Source organism: Homo sapiens, chromosome 9 (genome assembly GCF_000001405.40).
Source record: "Homo sapiens chromosome 9, GRCh38.p14 Primary Assembly".
Taxonomy (NCBI): Eukaryota; Metazoa; Chordata; class Mammalia; order Primates; family Hominidae; genus Homo; species Homo sapiens.
Genome location: NC_000009.12, coordinates 16,564,482 through 16,585,188, shown reverse-complemented (window position 1 = coordinate 16,585,188; position 20,707 = coordinate 16,564,482). Strand labels below are relative to the sequence as shown.

General features: G+C 37.4%; 1 protein-coding gene across 40 annotated transcripts in view; it reads left to right on the top strand.

Moving 5' to 3' along the window:
* Positions 1-20,707, top strand: part of BNC2 (basonuclin zinc finger protein 2) — a 461,168-nt gene that overhangs the window by 285,482 nt on the left and 154,979 nt on the right. For 39 of the 40 annotated variants that reach the window (XM_047423506.1, XM_047423501.1, XM_047423494.1 and 36 more), the window contains one exon: positions 2,104-2,206. In XM_047423506.1, the coding sequence (XP_047279462.1) occupies positions 2,104-2,206 (103 nt within the window). Of the gene's footprint in view, positions 1-2,103; positions 2,207-12,104; positions 12,920-20,707 lie in introns of those variants that run through there. The other variant, XM_047423509.1, reaches the window with a different exon arrangement.

Below are 20,707 nucleotides of genomic sequence, written 5' to 3'. Positions count from 1 at the left end.
ATTTGTTCTCGTCTTAAATATGGCTGTAATTAAAGTTGATGAAAGTGTGCTTTAAAGACAATACAAAATTAGGATATTTTTATAAAATAATTAAATATTATCAAATTAATGATTTAAATATTTGTGTCTTTTGTGCTGGAGTTTATATTAACTGTCCTTGAAATACCATCTCATTTTATTGGCCCTCCCTTGATTTCGGTAAAGCAGAGCTATTTTTTTTAAAGCATTTATGAAAGCTTTTATTATTGCACTTCAAATTATATGAATGTTTTAATGTCAACATAGTTCCCGTATCTGAATTTATAATTAGATAATTTGTAAAGTTCTTGTTTTTAGTGGAAATGCTGTCCTCTAAGCTCTTTTTATTTTGGTCACAGTACAATCAAGTTTTGAGTTCATTAACTAATGAACATGTTATTTAAATAAACTATTTCTGACTTGGGATGTTCTGATATATTTCTCAGTTAACAAATTATTGAAATTTAAGAACTTCTGGAAGAAACGTTTCTCCTTATAGTCTACAAATTAATCACTTCTATATACAACAAAGTTTACAACCTAGCTACAATTGGACCATGTTTGGAAGAGAGATCCTGAAATATCAGGGAGATTATACAATTAAATATTTCCCTAGTGCTAAATTGAAGCACAAATTAAAGATGGGGGTGAAGTATGAATGGAGTCTACAGTGAGGACTCCAACATCTGAAACCAATAGGGATCCATAGATTTAATATTAATTAATGGAAGAGAAATATTTTACACTTGCCTGATCTAAAGCATAGGGAATGGTAAAAGCCTGCTCAGTCTTATTCTCTGTGAATGGAATTTGTCCCAGTCATGTTAACAATATCCAAAATACTGCCTGTTACAAATGAGACAGTTTCTATAAAAATCCTAATGGTTCCAGAAATATGAGCATCTGGAGCTGTGTGAGTGAGCATGGCTTTCAGGCACAGAGCTGCAGTTTCAGGTATCCCCATGCCCACCCCTCCACCCCAGAATCAGTAATCATTGATTGCATCTAAATCTGCAGAGAGATCTTTTCCTGGCAGTTCAAGTAGTTACAGTAGATTGTTAATCTGCGAATGATCAGACTAAATCCCTTCTGTCTTCAGAATTTCTATGCAAATTAGAATTAACTGTATGAGATAAATTTATTAACTGTAGTCCGGGAGCTTAGGTCAGCTTTAGCACTATTCTTAAACATAGGTTTTTATTCATAAAAAGTTACACTCCATTTATGCTAATTTTCTATGGATTCATTTTATAATATTAACTGGTGAGATGGTTTTTTAAAGTGGTTATAAGGAAATGAAAGATTTTTAAGTGTGTTTTTCAGTTTTCTGCAATACAGGTGTACTGTTCCAGATATAAAATATTCACATAAATGATTTTTTCTGTTCCATGTCTGATCTGAAACCAAAATTTAAACTTATTTTCTTTCTTATGTCACTGTTGAAATAAGAGGAGGATTGTTTTTTATTTTTCAAAACAGGAACGAAAATAGAATAAAAAATATTCAAGGAATTGGGATGTGATTAAATAATAATAGAAATATGTTAGGTCTTATTGAGCACAGGAGTGTCTTTAAAATATATTTGAGAGTTTAGCACAACATTTAATTGAAATTCAGCAGAAGAAAAGTAATATTCTAATAATAATATTTGTGTGCCATATTTTACTTTCACAAACATTTCACTTGAATATTATTTTGTTACAGTGTATTTTTTGCTTTATTGACAAGTAGAGAAATTTAAGTGGAAATATATATTAGCAGCAATATACTTTTTTCTTTTTTGGATTTGTGATGTCGTAAATCCGGTATCTTATCGAATATGTAATCCTTTATTTTTATTCTAAGTTTGTAATTTAAAGGTTACTGTGAATGACCTAAAACATTGTATTAGTGAATGAGCTTTTGTTTTCTTTACCTTTTTTAATAAGAGATTTTGGTGATATCTAAATTTATTTTTAAAACTCTCCAGGCCCCTACCATCATAAAATCTTTAAAAATAGAAGTGGGCAATATTTATTGAAATGGTGAAAAGAGTATAGTATCTTTGAACAGATGCTGACCTTTTTTTCCTCCTTTATTTTTCAGGCCATCCGTTGCACACTGGTAAACTGCACATGTGAATGTTTTCAGCCAGGGAAGATTAACCTGAGGACTTGTGATCAGTGTAAACATGGCTGGGTGGCACATGGTGAGGAAAATCTGGGCTTTTCTTCCCGTTCTTATTATGTTCATGTTCGTGTGTGTGTGTGTGTGTGTGTGTGTGTGTGTGTGTGTGTGTCTGTTTAGAGGAGTCACTGGCCTGGAGAAGAGAGAGGTCAGCTGTGCTCCAAGTGTTAGTTAAGATTCAGCCTGCGGCTCTAAAACAGCATATTCTCAGCTCCAAGGAGCTAGGCGAGCAGCTCTCAGCAGAAGGCCAAGATGTTTATAGGACAGTTGGGCTGTGAAGTTCTTACTGAGCATGGGCGCAGCCAGCAAGCACCAGGCCTGATGGAAACTCAAACATACCACAGTTGGCCTTTCAGGGCCTGGACCTCAGAGGGAAGCTGGCAAATCCTCCTTGCTTGAGAACTCCTCGATGACTGCTCACCCTTGTCGTATGTGCTCGGGGCTGAGCTTATCCTTCTAGATGTTAAATGTTGTATGGTCTCAGGTGGACGAGAGAGTGAACGGGAACATTATTTGGCTGGTATCTGAAAATATAACCTGTAAATACTCCCTTTCAGTGTGCATGGGGATTGGAGGTGGTCGACGTAGGTAGAGTGTGAGCTCTGTGTAGGTGTGTGCTGGGGTGGGGAGACCCCACGCGAAGGATATGAGTGTTGAGGGTTTTTGCCAGGTGCACAGAGCCGTTCTGTCAGTGTGCCCTGACCGAGCGTTCAGCATATTCCTGTGTATGGTTTATGTTTATTCTGTTTAAGTAAAAGGAGACTTGGAAATAAGCAGACGTTTTTTTTTCCACCTCCCAGACTGTAGAATTTAAAAAGATAGGTAATGTTTATAAAAAGAAATCCTGGCTTGAGATTTTTTGACAGCCCCGGGTATTGCCTCTTAAGTGGACATATTCTTCATTCCCAAGCAGTGCCAAACATCCAGTGGGTTGTATTTTTATAAATGTCATGTTATTCTAGCAACATCTGAGGTAACAACACTGGGCCATGCCTCGAAATGCTTTTAATTTATCATGTACCTTGCTTGTGAGGGCGTGTGTGATGGAGTTGCGGGGACATTTCAGCCATGTTTCTGTGAGAGAGAGTACTCTGAGAGGAATACCCGGGAAGGGGTATGTTTCCACCATGCAGCCACAATCCTGCAGTCCTTCATGCCCACAGGGATAGAGCGCTTTCCTGCTTTATTAACAAGGCCCAAATCAGCAACAGGTCTCAGTCCAGTCTTGAACAACAGATGAGCTGCATTTACTTCTGCAGTCTCTTTATGTTACTACATTCAATGATTTCGTCTCTCTTCATATATTAGTTTGCTAGGGCTGCCATAACAAAATGCCACAGGCTGGGTGGCTTAGAGAGCAGAAATTTATATCCTCAAAGCTCTGGAGGCTAGAATTCCAAGATCAAAGTGTTGGCAGGGTTGGTTTCATTCTGAGGCTTCTCCTCCTCATTTGTAGATGGTCACCTTTACATGGTCTCTCCTCTGTGGGAGCATGCCCTGGTGTCTGCAACCTCCAACTCCCGGGTTCAAGCGGTTCTCCTTCCTCAGCCTTCTGAGTAGCTGGGATTACAGGCATGCGCCACCACACCCAGCTAATTTTTGTATTTTTAGTAGAGACGGGTTTTCACCAGGTTGGCCAGGCTGGTCTCGAACTCCCGACCTCATGATCTGCCAGCCTCGGCCTCCCAGAGTGCTGGGATTATAGGTGTGAGCCACTGTGCCCAGCACTGGTGTCTTCTTGTGCATCCAGATTTCCTCTAATAAGGACACCAGTCAGATTGGATTAGGGCCCACCCTAAGGGCCTCATTTTAACTTAATCACCTCTTTAAATACCCTATATTCAAATATAGTCACATTCTGAGGTAGTAGGGGTTATGACTTCAACATAGTAATTTTGGGAGAACACAAGCCCATAACAGTTCCCAAATATCCTTTTTTTCTCTGAAGAAGTATTGGTTTTGCTGGGTAATAGGTACAGAGCTTATATCCTAAACTCATCAGAACCATATGAATATTGGAGGCAGTTTGGTTGTAGACTGTTCTGAGGTCAAATCCTGGCTCTGTCACCTCATGACATGTTAATATTGCTGGACTTCAGTTTTCTTGCCTGTAAAATAGGATTAATAGTTCCTACTTTACAGTCTTATTATGAAAATTAAAGAGAAAATATATGAAGCCTTTCTAACTAATACATATTAAAAGTAAAATGGACAGTAGATGAGCACTAAAGGGGAGGCCAGTCGTTGAACAAAGGCGTTTCATTTATTCGCTCTCATTTTTGCCAAAGCCATCTTGTATTATCATTATCTATCTACTATGGTAGCCTTGGAGTATAAAAGTTAACTGTGTCACCAGTTTGTTTTATCTATTTAATGTCCATGTGCATATTACATTAGTAATGTAAAGGAAAAAGCAATGTTTTTTCCTTCTTGAACAACATAAATTATTCCTGGCCAGTGATTGTTTCGAGGACTTTCTGAAGAATGTCATTTTTCACCCAACTTGAATAAGATGTTTTTGTTACACCAGACTGTGCTTTTTCTACTGTACCATTAAAAATTCTATGTTTCTAGGATATTAATTTTGGTGTTTCTCAGACCTTAGCAAAATGTATTCTAATTCTTTCCTTTACAATTATCACCTTGACCTCTTTTTTCCCACAACAGGGAGATATCTGTATACAGCTCAAAATGCATACACCCAAGCATGTGAATCCCACACTCTCCCCATTCATGAGGCCAAATACAGCAGTGAGGGGTTGGCCTCTAGCCTTGGAGTTGGCAGTGGGATGACAGCACCCACTCTTTTTGCCCCTAGCATTACAACTAATTGCTTCATTCCCTCTCTCTGCACAGAAACCCTGAAATCGTGTCTCCAATGACTTCTGCTCAGAGGTGAAACACAGCATTCTTTCCGGCTGCCTTATACTGTGCAGTGTCCTGGGTGTGGGGCAATGAGGAAGTGACTTGGGTTTTCTAGTGTGTAATTTTCCTCTGAAATGCATGGAACAGCAACAAAACTACCAAGATACATTGCCCAGAATGGTTTCATGGTAGCACTGAATGCATTCTACCTGTCATTATGTCAATAAAAAAATTTTTAATATCTGCTGCTAAAAAATAACCAAATGCCAAAATCATGTATTCTCTCTAAAACAGATTTTTAGAAATTTGTTGACCTCCTTTCTTGAATAAATTATCCTTGTTAACAGCATTTTCAGTTCATTCCTAAGATGTTGGATTTCATGGGTCATTATCTACCATATATATGCACATATGTGTGTCTCTGTATATGTACACACACAGAAACACACGCACATTCTCTCTGTTGACTTACAGATTGCTTACTAAAGCTGCGTAAGTTGTTGACGTTAACTACTTTACAAAAATCTTTAGAAATGTGTTTCTAAAAAATTAAAAGCTGGGTGTGGTGTGTCTGACAGCCTGTATTCCCAGCACTTTGCGAGGTTGAGACAGGTGGATCGCTTGAGCCCAGGAGTTCAAGACCAACCTGGGCAACATGGCAAAATCTTGTCTCTACAAAAAGTACAAAAATTAGTCCGGTGTGTTTGCGTGTGCTCTCGGTCCCAACTACTTTGAAGGCTGGGGTGGGAGGTTTGATTGAGCCTAAGAGGTCAAGGCTGCAGTGAGCTGAGATCATGCCACCACATTCCAATCTGGGTGACAGAGCAAGACTCTGTCTCAAAAATAAAAAAAAAATAATAAATTAAAGAGTGATTAATTCATTATACTGCAACACCTGGGTTTTGAAATTATTAATACTTAGTGGGCTGTGTTACTTTTCACAGAGTATTTTCTTAAAATCCTTAGCACTATTGAGTTAAGGGAGGAAGGAATCTCAGAGCAGTTCTGAATACCAGTAGGTATTTCCCACTAAATTAATAAAGGATTTCCTACCTTACCACCACCCTGCCCACATTAAGGAATCTTAGCTCTTTCACTCTGATAATAGAAAGCAGGGCTTATTGAATTTACTTAAACATTTTTTTTTCTCTTGGTAAAAGATGGCCATACCTAGTCTGTAATAATTTAGTTGATGGGCCAGAAATGGCTCAGAATTTCTAATTCTGTCAAGTCTCTGTAAAAGGACTCCAGTTTACTGCCACTACTTCACTGAAATACTATAAATACTATATTTTTTACTTTCCCTTGTTTGCTTTATCTTCTCAGTGCGTTTCCTTCATTCACCTAAAACAATCTGAGTATGGCTTGAAAAACAATAACAACAAAAGTTTTTTAGAGCTCTTTTTGGTTCGAAAGTGGCAAAATAAGATTAAGATATCAGGATAAGAGCAGTAATGGGCTCCTTTTCTGGTGATGTAATTTTTTTTTTTCTTTTTACCCTTTGCCTCCACACTAGAGTAGCAATTTGGCCATTCACAGAATTCAGACTTCAGCCAAATATTTTACAGAATGTTAAAAATTAGCTGGTACAACTAGAATACACTCAGCATTGGGTGCAGGTGGGAGTGAGTCCTACTTACTATTCTCCCTTGAAGAATACCTGCTTCTAACAGGAAGCATTACCAATAGGAGTTTGCTGTCTTCGTGAAAAAAAACAGGAGGCATGATGTAAAGGTTGAGGACTGCTGCACGAAACCATTTTTATTGTTTAATATTTGCAAGTTAGTTTTAATGTCCATAGTTTAGATGAGGACTTTATTTCTAAACCATTAAGATGAAGGTAAATAAAATAGTAAAAATAAGAAAGAAAACAAACTGAATTCTAAGGCGTTTTAGGAAATATTTAATGATAATCCAGTACAACTGGAAAATTGTTTTTATCCCATGATATTTGATTTGTGTATTTGATAAAAGAGGTGGGCAGATTTTACAGAGGTAATTCATTTAGAATTTTTTTTTAAACTAGATCAGTAACTTTTTCTTCTGATGAAGCTCATTTGTTAAGACCATCTCTTTTTTGGAAAAAAACAAAAAAAAATTTTTTTTTAATTCCACTGTTTCCTAGGTATGTGAGGTGAGCATTTGGCAAGAATATGAGACTTGATGAATAAAAAATACATTTTATAGCTTAACGCACCCACAGCAGCTTTCTCTGTGCAAATTATTTTCTTTTTTTTTCTTTGACTTTAAATGAAAGGATATACCATTCCAACAAGCTGCATGAATACTAGAATCTTCATTCACTTTCAAGAGATCTGAATTAATACCAGTGTTATTTCCTTTGGCTGAGGTCTGCCTGCAAGAATGCTTGTTGCACTGGAATTTTGAGACCTTTCTTTTATTATGTTCTGTAAATGTGATTTCCTTTTACTGCATGCATTTCATTCGAGGAAAAGATAGTTTTACATTATTACTTTAATTATTTACTAATTAAGCCAGCTTTTTTCCTGCCTATATTTTCTCCAAACTCCTGATTTTTTTTTAATGTAAAGTAAGCAGACCTGGTCTACATCATCCAGATCATCAGTCAGTAGATATTTATTAAACCTATCTCATACATGAAGGATTGTGCCAGGTAGCCTTCAGTTCTTCCACGGAAATGATGAGAAGTATAAAGTTAATTTAGTATCATATACCAACCAGCTTTATGGTTTAATGTACTGTAAGACTTAATATGCATATAACCCATTAATTTCAAACCTTTTTTTTTGTATTCACTGGATATAATTTTTCTTTTTTTTTTCTCAGCATGGTTGAATTTGAATTTTCAGCTTGTACTTGATATGTCTTATCAGACCAGGGGTATTTATAGAGACCTTCACCCAAATAGAAAATATAGAATTTTTGATTGAATCTGAATATCAATAAACAATAAATGATTTTAAATATAAATATTACCATGCAAATTTAGGTGAGAGTCCTTTATGTTTATTTGCTAAATCTGGCAAGCCCATACCTAAAAGAAAATCCTATTCAGACTCAATTTGCATAAATCCTAAATCAGGGCTATTGGTCATAAGCATCCTATAATCAAAAAGGTTTTGGGCCAGGCGCGGTGGCTCACGCCTGTAATCCCAGCACTTTGGGAGGCCGAGGCAGGTGGATCAGGAGGTCAGGAGATTGAGACCATCCTGGCCAACATGGTGAAACCCCGTCTCTACTAAAAATACAAAAATTAGCTGGGTGTGGTGGTGCGTACCTGTAATCCCAGCTACTCGGGAGGCTGAAGCATGAGAATCGCTTAAACCCAGGAGGTGGAGGTTGCAGTGAGCCGAGATTGTGCCATTGCACTCCAGCATGGCGACAGAGCGAGACTCCATCTCAACAACAACAACAAAAAAAGCTGTTGATTATATCAGTCCTACATTTAGAATCATGAGATCTCAGTATTTTATTTACAAATTCCTCAAGTTCGTTGGAGGCATGGTAGTTTGTAAGGACTTACAAGCAAGGCAGATCAAAACAAGTAATTTTTCATTTTGTCCTATGAAAGTTCACATGTCTTTATTATTTGTCCCAGTCTATGTTCTTATAAATTGTCTAAATATCTGTGAAAGTGGTTTGTTCCCAACTGGTAACTCTCTAATATTCTCCCTGACTTGAGTCCAAAACCTAGCATAACTAAAGTAGTCCAGTCTTTTCCTTGCCAATCTCTTTTCTTCCCTAGTCTTCTCTCCTTCCCACTCCGCATAGAAATTCCTTTATCATAAGAATAAAGCATGACATTTCTGTGATATCATGCTCATTCTGAGTGACTCCACAACAGTGTCCATATGATAATTTGTAAATGTGTCAAGATAAAGAGAGGAGACTAAAAAACAACTAAGTTTCGTCTGACAAAGGGAGATAATGTTCCCAGCAAGCTCTGGCTTGGAGACTATCCCAACGAAAACAACATTTTCTTTCGTAGAAATTTTTTTCCAGAGGGGTGTTTAGGGTTTGGTGAACAGTAGCACAGGCACTAATTTGAGTCCTCAGGGGAAGGGAAGTACATGCTTAGCAGTGGCAAAGTAAGAACCAGATCCTTAGGGGAAATGTTTCTAGGGCTTTGTTCAGAAACACAAGGATAGAAACACTATCGTCTTCTTCCCTTGGTGCACTCGTTTGGAAAAAGCGGAAGCTGGTGCAGTATCTGCTTAAAGAATTTGTCTTTCTAGTGGACTTAGTTTTTCCAGATTGTAAATGCTGAAACCCGGCTTTGCCTAGCTGCAAAATTCTCTTTTGCTCAGGGAAAACAGCTTTTAGCTGCCTCCTAGTTTTGGTGAGGCAGCTGGATTCTGGTCTCTCCATGAGCAAAGTCCTTGGACTTTTTTCTTCGTTTTAGAGAGCAAAAGCAAGGCCATTTTCCTGCCTGGCACAGGAGGCTTTTTTGGGCTTGACCTGAGGGCACAGTGCCCTCTTCTGCCTCTCTCCTTTACTTGCTGATCACTGCTGATAAGCTCTAAAGGGAAGACATCCTCATAAATGCAAAGGTTTGGTGCTTGATTAATGGCACTAAGTATTTTCTTATTGTGTCTCTGAGCAGCTTTTGATTTGTTTCTCAGCCTGCACACTTTTTGGATGGTGCTTTGCACTCCTTAAATTTTCTTTAAACCCAGCGCAAACAGTGCCTCCCCTTCAAAGTCCTGGGCTGTCTGCCTATTAGCTCCCCAGATTTTCTTTTTTTCCTAGCTATGTTTTATTCAGATGGAACATAAAGTGAGGCTGGCAAGACCTGGCCTCCAGTGTAGTCACTGCTGGTCTGCTGGTAAGGAGTTTCGTGGGAGGGTGTTGAGAATGAAACACACAGAGCTGTATCCCGCTTCGGGTGAATGAATGGGAGGCAATATACAAAATAGGTAAGAATGTTGTTCTTGAATGAGACTGTTTACATTCACGTCGCGGCTCTGTCACCTACTGTAGGTAGAATCTTGCCAAGTTGTATAATCTCTCTGTTCTGTCATCTGTGAAATGTGAGTGATGATAGCTCCTAGCTCATAGTGTTCTTCTAAGATTAAATGAGATAATCCAGATGCCTCATACATAGTATACACTTAATAAGTGTTAGTTGCTGTTATCACTAACTTCCTATAAAAGTAAGACTTCAACACTGTGGACATGATAGACATGTTTTAGCAAAGTAGAGTGATTAAAAGTTGGGTGTGGCCAGGCCAGTGGTCAAATCCCTTCTCTGCCTTTTGTTAGTAATGCCTTCTCTAAGACTCAGTTATTTCATCGAGAAATTCGGATAATAATAGCAATGCATCTAAATAACACAGATTCATTTTGAGAGAGGATTACATGAAAGAGTAGGGTTAGCCCAATATTCTGGCACAACAATTTTAGGAGCTAGTATTGTTATTGCTAAGTCAATAAAATAATATTAAACATCAATATTAATGATAATATCTAGTGTCTCCCTTAAGGTACGAATGTGGAATGTGTTGGGATGAAACTATTTCTCCTTCCAGGGAAGGTTTTCTTCAGTATGCAGTTGCAGAGGTCAGGTCACCAGTTCTTTTGGCTGTTGGACCAAGTGTTCCGTAGGTGAAATTGTTTTCCCAAGCAAATCCAGTATAGTTCCATACCTTCCATTTCCCCTAAAATGTCATTTGAGCCCTTATTTGAACACAGTAAGGAATATTTTACACCAAAAGTCATTTTGAGAATTGCGCCAGTTAAAATAAATTATAGTAATATTTACCTGCTAAAAATCCAAAAGCTATAAGTAGGTGAATTTTAGGTAGGATTAAGGCTACTTTTACCTATTTTCACACCTGTCTTTTTGCATGTGAAGTGCTTCGATGGGCTCGCCACTTTATCATTTTATTGCATTTTATTACATCATAAATTTTTATATCTTGCTAACGATCCTACAGGAAGCTTAATTGTTTATAGGAGCATCTTAATTAACTGGAGTTCACCAGGTTAAGCAGAACACAAATTGAAGGGTTTATAAATGAAACACACTCAACTCCTCTCCTTTTACTCAGGATAAACTAGGAGATTCGGCTGGGTCGTAAGGACCCCATATGCCTCAGCAATATCATGTTGATCCTTTCAACCACTCTTCCTTCTCTATTATGTCATAAATGGTGACTTCTAACTCCTCTCCCCTCTTTACTGAAGTGTGAAATTGCTGGATAAGTACAGTATTTCAAAGATAACTCTGAATTGTATTCTGGGAGCCCTAAAATGTTGTTTATACATCCCATTTCTTACCAGGTTTTGCCTTTGTAGATGTTTATATATCTTCAAAAGGTTCTTGAATTAATTTGTTATTAGTTCGCATATACCCAAAGAATTGTATAAGAAGTGCTTTAAGTATTACTTTAAGTATTACCACAACTGGATAGACTTGTAACCAGTATTTGTTAAAAGGCCCAGTAGTGAGATTCCTCTCTTCGTTCAGCTGCTCCCTGGTACCCAGGGAGATCCCCACTTTGACCTCATGGGCCTCTTTGCCTTCTGTACAGTCAAGTGACGCTACAAATTTAAATGCAAACCCATCTAATTGAAAGGACAGTCTTGGGCCTTAGATTCTACTCGCCAAGAAATGTAAAGGCAACTCTACACCTGGCTGTCCAATAAGGAAGCCACTGTTATGGCTTTGAACACTTGAAATGTGGCTAGTCCAAATTGAGATGTGATGTAGGTATAAAGTGTACACCAAATTTTGGAGCTGTCATCTTATTTAAAAAAAGAATGTAAAATAGTCATTAAGAGTTGTTCTTCCATATATTTTTGATTTATCATGTCAAATACGTTTTTAAACATCACTTTTTTACTATTTTACTTGAAACTAGAAAAATTAAAATTCTGTATCTTGGCTTGAATTATATTTCTTTCTTTTTCTTTTTCTGTTTTTTTTTTTTTTTTGAGACAGGGTCTTGCTCTGTCACCCAGATGCAATGGTGCAATGTCATCTCATTGCAACTTCCCCTTCCTGGGTTCAAGCAATCCTCCCACCTCAGCCTCCTGAGTAGCTGGGACCACAGGTGTGCGCTACCACGCCCAGCTAATTTTTGTATTTTTTGTAGAGATAGGGTTTCGTCTTGTTGCCCAGGCTGGTCTCAAGCTCCTAGATGCAAATGATCTTCCCGCACTGGCTCCCAAAGCACTGAGATTACAGCTGTGAGCCTCCGTGCCCGGCCATAAATTATATTTCCATTAGACGTGGTAATCGTAGGCTCTAGGTATGAGAGAATATATTTGGAGAGCTAAAGCCTAGGTTAAAGTGGTTTGGTGGCAGAGTAGTTAGAATTGGTGTGATAATCCTAACACCCTAAATCCAGGCTCTTGTCCCTTGAGTCACCACTGTAAACTCTTTCCCAGTTTTTCGTACTTTGACGCTTGCTGCACTATTGATCCTGGCCAGTTTTTCCTGTGCCTTGTTCATCAAGAAAGTGGGATTCCCACCCCTTTACTCCCCTCTGCACCACCACTCCCCACCCCCGGAGCAATTAAGTGCTCCCTTCTTTATTTTCTCAATACACTTTGCTGAGACCAGAGGTTTCTGGGTAATACTGATCCTTCCACTAACTTGAAAAGCTCAGGAAGGGCACTTCACCTTTGTGTGCTGGAACATACTGCAGCATCTCATGTGGTGCATGGAACAAAGGTTTATTGAAACTCTAAGCTTATGGAAAAGTCTCACTCAGATTCCTAATTGCCATTTGCTTTTCCAGCAGCCTCTTCCCATTTTAAGGTATAAGCACAGCCCACAAACACCTTGTCTTTATGCCCATTTGTGCGTTTTTCTTTTCCAGTTCTCATTCTATTTTCACCTTTGCTGTTTCCCTCTGTCTTCAGACAACAAAATAAGTGAAAGGTAAGTGGGAGGTTTTAGCAGCCCAAACATCCAGGAAGTAAATTTTAGAGAAGTTAAATTTGTTTAATCATTAACAGATGTTGGTGTTTTTGTTTTATTCAGAAGATAAGATCTTGAGTGAAATACCTTCGGCTTTCCAGTTTTTTTATATTCCTTTGCCTGCAAAAATCTGAGGGTAAGACATTACCCACCCGCCTCCTTTTGGCTAATCGTGTTTTCCACTATCAGTAAAAATTAAAAAACAAATCAACCTCTAACATAAAAGAAAACACCTGTTTGGCTTGGAGAACTTGGCTAGGGAGGTGTTTTTTCTGACATGCCAAAAGCGACCATCACAAGGCCCCTTAAAAAAAAAGTCATTTTTTTTTCTATATTTCATGTGAGCATTGGCAGAAACTCTGACAAGCAGTTCTTCATATTTTATTATGTTCTTGTCTGCAGAATCTGTGTCAGGCAAAAACCTTGTCAGCGGAAAACCTGTCGTAGGATCAGAGGAGACAAAAACAGGTGTCACACAGGCAGTCAAAACTGAAGGAAAAAAAAGATTAGGCTAAAGAGAGAGAGGCAGACAATTACATTAATGCCATTGCTTTTATCTTATAGATGTGTGTTATTATCTCGGGGTGCTGAGTGCGCAATTGCCTCAAAGAAAAGTAGACAGGAGACAAGGGGAAACTTGATAGTTATTAACTGAAGAGGCAGTGTGTCAAAGCTGGATGGGGTTCAAAGTTTTGCAAAGGAAAAAAACTGCAGGCAGCAAGCAACGGCTGTGTGGTTCTGCTTTCGGCTACATAAACCGAGTAGCTATCTAACATTTTCTACTTGGAAACAGATCATAGAAGGAAAAATTAATGAAAGATTTCATTTGGAGTTCTTGGGGGATAACATTTATCCTATATATATGTGAATGAATCATATAACCTTTTCTCTCTTACAAAATCTTGCTACAATGTGAGACATGGTGAGGCATGAAGACAGGCATTTGTCAGTTCAGCTGTGTTGTTTGGATATATTTAAAACACCTATTATCAACACACTTTTAATTAAAAAAAGCTATTAAGAAGCCCTTTTACTAAGTGTGAACATCTGTATGTGCAAGCTGTAAATTAGGAGATCACATATGTGTGCCTCAGTCAGAGACTAAATGAATTTGGCAAGTGTTTTCTTTTACTGGTTTTTAAATACAGTAAAATATCTCAAGGAAAAATTGCTACATTTTACAATTTGTATTGACTCTTTTGATTGTGCCCGTTGGTACTGATTAATTGAACTTATCTAATTAGAAATTTTCTAATTAGAAATTAGGGTTACTATCATGATCAAATTAGTAAACAGAATTCAAAGCACTAACCAATATATCCCCTCTGTTTCTTTATTCACATTATTTCAGATGTCACTTCTTTTCTGAAAGTTTGCGCTCCATTAAATATGTGTGATGGTATAAAATACTTTCGTTTTGCCAATGGTCTAAATCCCAAAAGAGTTTTTGCCTTGTTGATAACTCATACATGTCAAACAGCCCACTAATAGAGAATGGGATGGTAACTTTAGGTTTCCCTATCTGCTCAATGATATGTTGATCACATTAGTGGAAAAATCGGCAGATACTGCTTTAGTTCTTAACATTTTCTACTTGTGCATTTAAGATTTCGTTAGGTTAGACTTTTCCTAAGCCCTAGGACTGCCCTCTTAACCCGTTTTTATGAGGAAATCTTTACATAGGGTCTTTTTATCCCACCGGTTACTGATACAAAGCAGTTTGATACTTGATATATGCATTAAGCAAATCCAGCAGTCCAGAAGAAAACACACGTCAGTGCCAAAAGTGTGTGTGATAGCCTAGAGATTTTAAGGGATTACAGTGGGGAAAACAGATTGATTATAGATTTAGAGTGAGATTTCAGCCTGAATTACTGGGGGAAGGAGGAAAAATTACTTGTGACACAAAGGTGACATTCATTTTTCTTTTTCAAGACTGAGTATAATAATTTCTTTCTTTTAGATATTTCCCTACCAGATGCTGGCTTTTTATACCACGACTCTCAATTTTGAAATATTTTTTCACATGTGATAGTTTAAAGCATATATTTTATCAAATAGTAAATATGCCTTGCCTTTGCACTTTTTGCTTAATGAAATTCTTATATAGATATATGTTCCTTTAAGAAAATTAAGTCTTTAAAGTGAATAACTGGGGGGTAGGGTGATTATTTTCTTACAGAAGAATTCGTATTTTTGTTTAATAAAAGGATGTACATAGTTAATTCAGGTAGCAAATCTCAATAGTTACTTTTAAAATGAGATATGTTTTATAGTCAGTGTACTGTGTATTAAATCCATTGGTACATAAACTGGATAAAGCAGGGTTTGTGTAGCCAACTTTAAGCTGGCTGAGGCAACTGGAGATTGGATAGAACAGCAGTGGCAATAATAATAATTCCCAAACCTGGTTTCAGCAAGTAGATTCAGTTACTAAATCTCTTCTTAGATCTACTGTCAAATTTGCAGATAAAATTTTCTCTTTGCCTGTTACCACCTTCATGTGGAGTTGCTGCAAAAGAGCAAAGGCATGCCCCCAAAAGTGGGCCATGTAAGAAAGAAGAAGCGGGAGAATAAGTATAACCAAGGACCTGTTTAATCTACTAGCCAGGAGAGAGAGCTTCTGAACAACCGAGTGGTGAAATACTTTTATGTGTGCCTCAGTCAGACTTTAATGCTTTTCAAAGTCTGTTTTGAGGACTTTATTATGCGTAAGGCCACAGGGGGAAATGCCATTCAGTTTGAAATATTGGCTGTATAGTCTCGAGTGGAGCTCAGTGTCTACCCTGGACTAATTGTGGGTGTTTATATGTGTATGTATATCCACATACCCTGAAAGCTACATGTCAACTGAGGTTGATTAAAATCCGTAGGACAGTGGGGCTTAACTGGAACTACTTTTGTCCCTCTTCCCTCCCTACAGTTTGGAATTACATTCATAATAAACCATGAGAGTATTTATACATTATCCCTCATGTATTAAGAGATGAGAAAAAAAATCAAGGGCCATTCACATAATGTATATAAGGTATAGTAATGTAATGAGGATTTGTAGAGGTTCAGTGGAGTTTATTCATTTTAAAAAACACTGACACACTATTTGTTGAAGAAAAAAAAAAAAACCCTTTGTACATAAGGGTTGACAGTTTTTATCACCACACTTGGGGATCAACTCTTTTAGCTAAATACCATTCGTTTTCTTCTTCTCTTTAAAAAAAAAAAAAAAACTCTAGAAGCAAGCCTTGGTATTAAATATCCTAATTAATTCAACCTTGACAGTTACAGTTAGAAAGTTGTGACTTAAATGGAACATGAGTTATTTTGTACTTAACTTGCTCCCAGTTACATAGTTCTTTCCCCCAGAAGTAGTGAATAAAATGTGCAGATCTAAATATTACTTCACGTCATAAGAAATTTTTCTCTTAATCACAATTGTTGCCTGCCTTCACGATCTCCTGATTCACTAAAAAGTTTTAATGTGTCATCATTGCCCTATATTAATGTTCTCCCCAAGTGTTAAGGCTTTTATTAGGATCTAGCTTACAATCTAAGAGTAGACTAAGTCTTTGCCTTGAGCCCTGATGCTTTTGCCTGGTAAGAGAGCTGAGTCTTACAATGGGAAAGGATTGATGTGATAATGATTCCAAAGGGCCCCTTTATGATGAAATTCTAAATACGCAAAATCCCATTAAACCTGTGGAAGTGCATGGGCTAGGTACATTGAAATGACATATCATTATATTGGGTATAGTGTGCTTATTATGAAGTGTGGTATAATTGAAAATTATTGGTCGTATTAGCAAAAATGAAGAGCCACCACCCTCATAAATTCAGAGGTTATGGCCTGGACATTTGAGATAGGAGTGGTAAAAATATTCTGTTTATAAATAATGAAAACTTTAAAATCTGACCCCAGAAATTGCTCCAATAAAAATCTCATCGCTAACAACTTTTAGAACTCTTAAAGTAATCGTGGAAAGAGTTTCATAAAAACAATCCCTAAAGACGTGTGTTAAATGTTAATCTATTGGAAATTCAAATAGTAGTCTAGGATCCAGAGCTCCTAAAAGCTGACCACTTGATGCTTGTAATTTGGAATTCTAAAGGGAGTTGAGGCAAGAGACCCAGAGTTCTCGAAACAATTAGCCTTGTAATTTAAGGCTCACTTGGCTTTCTCCCAAAATAAAAGAATAAGCCTTCTTTTTTAACTTGTAAAATTACTTCAAATTAGCATTAAAAATTTTGAAATATCCAGGGCAGGACTGAAAATTAGTGAAATAACAGGTTTCCATTTAGACCCTTTTCGTACAGATTTTTAATTGTTTTATTCTACAAAGTAAGTGGTTTTGAAAAATCATTGTACTTCACATACTTCTTATCTTATTGAATGGCTGCTAGCTTCACACTGCCATGCCTGAACAGCTAGATGGACTCCACTGGACCTCAGGACCTGAAATGAGCATATTCCTGTGGAAACCAACTGAGTCACTTGAATTTGACTTTTAAGGAAAGTTGTGTTTAAAAAAAGTTGTGGAAAACTAAGAACTATAAACTATCACTGAGAGCCAATTTTGTAGGATCAGTGAAAAGCACTTTTATACTCTTACATTAAGAAAAAAAAGTATCTGAATATGTTCTTATTTCTGTGACCTTCACAGAAAATATTGGAAGTGAAGTCTGTAGAATTACAGGTTTACATTTATTTTAATTTATTTGAAGGTTTGAGGAGCAATTCCTGTTATTTAAAATAGAAATAAAAAATTGTTATTCGCATTTCATGTGATAGATGTGTTCTTTTATAACTACCCCTCACCCACCCCCAGCACTATTTTATACATTTGAAAACTGAATTTTATAAAGGACATTACTTTGTTCTTTAAGTTAGCAGTATAGTTAAAAGTACATATTACTTTACATTTATTACCCATTTTGCATTATGTTTTATGCTCATTTTACATTTATATTACATACATTAATGAAGCACAGAAATCTCAGCTGTTGTCCTTATGGCAATTCTGTTCCCACATAAATGAGTTTTCTTCATTCAGACTCAAGTGTCATTTTGGGGTCCTGTGGCTTAGCCACCATGTTCCTTTGGAAAACTATAGATCTTATCAAAATATTTATTGAAATTATATCCAGGCCTCAATTTCTCCTTTGTTTTGTAGCCATAAAATTGCCAGTTTAGGCCTCTGTTTCTAGCATTTTAGGAAATCCAAGTAAATTATGTCCCATCAGTAACCTCATTCACAGTTTAAGGAGCTTGTATTGTATGAATTTTTTTCCTTTTTTCTAATATCTTTATCTTGCAGTTAAAGCTTTTGCTTTTTCCAGATGAAATTCTGCATACTAAAAAGAGATTAATTGACCCTTTGTTTGTTTTTCCTCCAGGTCTTTTACAAAAGAAAAATAATCCTGTCTTTATAGATGCTCTTCTTACAGTCTTACTGTGTGACTATTCTCTGACGACTTTCCAGGGTCTATACTACACCTTTTTCTATAGCTATAAGGCCATCAGTCTAGCGTATTGATCACAAATCTAGTGATTTGTGCTACCATTATGGATGATTTTCATAAAGTCTGTGTATTATGATTCAGTCTGTGTACCTTGCAATTAAGATTCTTTTTCTTAACCATATTAGACTTCTATCCTGTTTTTCTACTAAAAGTGCATTGTAATCTCCCAAGTAATACTTGACCTAGTAAGAAAGAAAATATGCCAAGTTTACTCAGGATTCCTGCTTAGCTAGCAGCGCCACCTTACCCTCCAAATTGCCTTAATTACCCACCTTCACTTATTCTGTGAGGGGGTGCTGTCTAGAACAAAAGAAGGGTTGAGAAAGGGACATGGATGAAATTAAGAATTTGGTGGCATGGTGGAATCATACATTTACCCCTTCCATTGAAAATAGAATAATGGCTTTTTATTCTATTATATACACTTAACTGTGTTCATCCATCCAACAGTATGATTACTCAACACTCTTTAGTGATTTTGTTTCAGGTATGGTTGCTGCTCAAAATCAAGGTCTTGAGATAAGTAGGAACATAAGTGATCCCAGGAAATGGTAGAGTCCATTTCCTCTTATATGAGGGAGCCTCTCTAGGCTACATGGAAAAAGAAAATAGAATATAAATCGAAACGGGAAAGAAAAGGTAGTTAGAGGAGTTAATAAGAAAGAAGAAAGACACTTGAACAGCGTTGAAAGTAAACGTTCTGAGAAAATACAGCTTTACGGATGGAACCTCGCTTATCTCTCTGGCGTCATCTTGGTTCTTCTCTTGTTCATGTCCTGGCCGAATTGGCTTTGCCTGGAATACCCGACTCCCACCCCATTGAAATTATGTTCTCATGTCACATATCCAGTTTGTAATTTTGTGTGTTAATGTGTTTGTTTATTTGTTTGTTGCTTTTTTTTTTTTTGAGATGGGGCTCATTCTTTTGCTTAGGCTGGAGTGCAGTGGCGCAATCTTGGCTCACTGCAGCCTCGACCTCCCAGGCTCAAGTGATCCTCCCATCTCAGCCTCCCAAGGATCTGAGATTATAGGTGTGCACCACAATGCCTGGCTAATTTTTGTATTTTTTGTAGAGACAGGGTCTCACCGTGTTGCTTAGGCTGATCTCAAACTCGAGCTCAAGTGACCCACCCACCTCAGCCTCCCAGAGTGCTGGATTACAGGCATGAGCCACTGTGCCCTGCAGTGTAATTTTTAAAAGTCTGTTTTCTTCACTAGTGTATTAACTTCAAGTGGGCCCAAATCATAGCTGTTTTGTTCTTCACTAAATCTCTAAAACTTAGCATGGGACAGGAAATACACATTTAGTGACCAAATAGTAAAGTGCTAGTAATATGTGAAGGTGCTGGGAACCTTACTTTGGGCAGATCAGAGGGCCCATGTCAGAGAGTTACTAGACTGGAAAGTAAATCAATCTGTCCAAGGTCTTCTGACCCAGGTTAAGGATTTTGTGTGTGGGTGAGAGAGAAGTGGGGCAGTTATGTGTGTGAAGAGGCTGGGGACGTCATTGGAAATTTTGAACAGAGGAAAGACTAAGCAGTATTTTGAGAAGATTGACTTGGTTTTCTTTAGCATATAATAGGCCAGTGAGAACAGAGAGAGACCAAATCAGTTAGGAGCCCTTGTAGTAATGAAGTTATGAAGGTCTAAAAGCCTGCTCTAAAATGGTATAAATTAGACTAGAAAGAAGAAATTGATCCAGGAAAAACTGCAATGGAAGAGTTTAAAGTGATTAAGGATGACGATGACCTACGGAAGCAAGGGAAAGTAGTCAGAGATAATTTTGAATGTTCGTGCTAGATAATGTTAAGGGAGACAACACCGCCACCAAGATAGAAACTTTTATCTACAGTATGACCTCAACTATATAAAGTTATGTATTGAAAAAAGTAGATGTAGATACATCTTAACATGTGGACAATCATTGTTTTGGGTGGTGGGATTATGGGTAATTGTCTTTTTGTTTTCCTTTTTCTTGAATTTAGAACATTTTGTCAATAAGCACCTATGAGAAAATGACACACAAAGAAGTCTGATTTCAAATATTTTGGCCTAGTTTCCCAGTTCTACCTTTCACAGCAAAAGGAGTCAAGTATGTGTTTGGAGTTGAGCTTGGGCAGAGCGAAATTTAAAGGTTAGGGATCATCTGCATAGTGTAGGAATAGTTGGATTCCTAGGGGCAAATGATCACAGGTGGGCAGGTGGAGAGGCAGTTTGTCTGGAAACCTGATG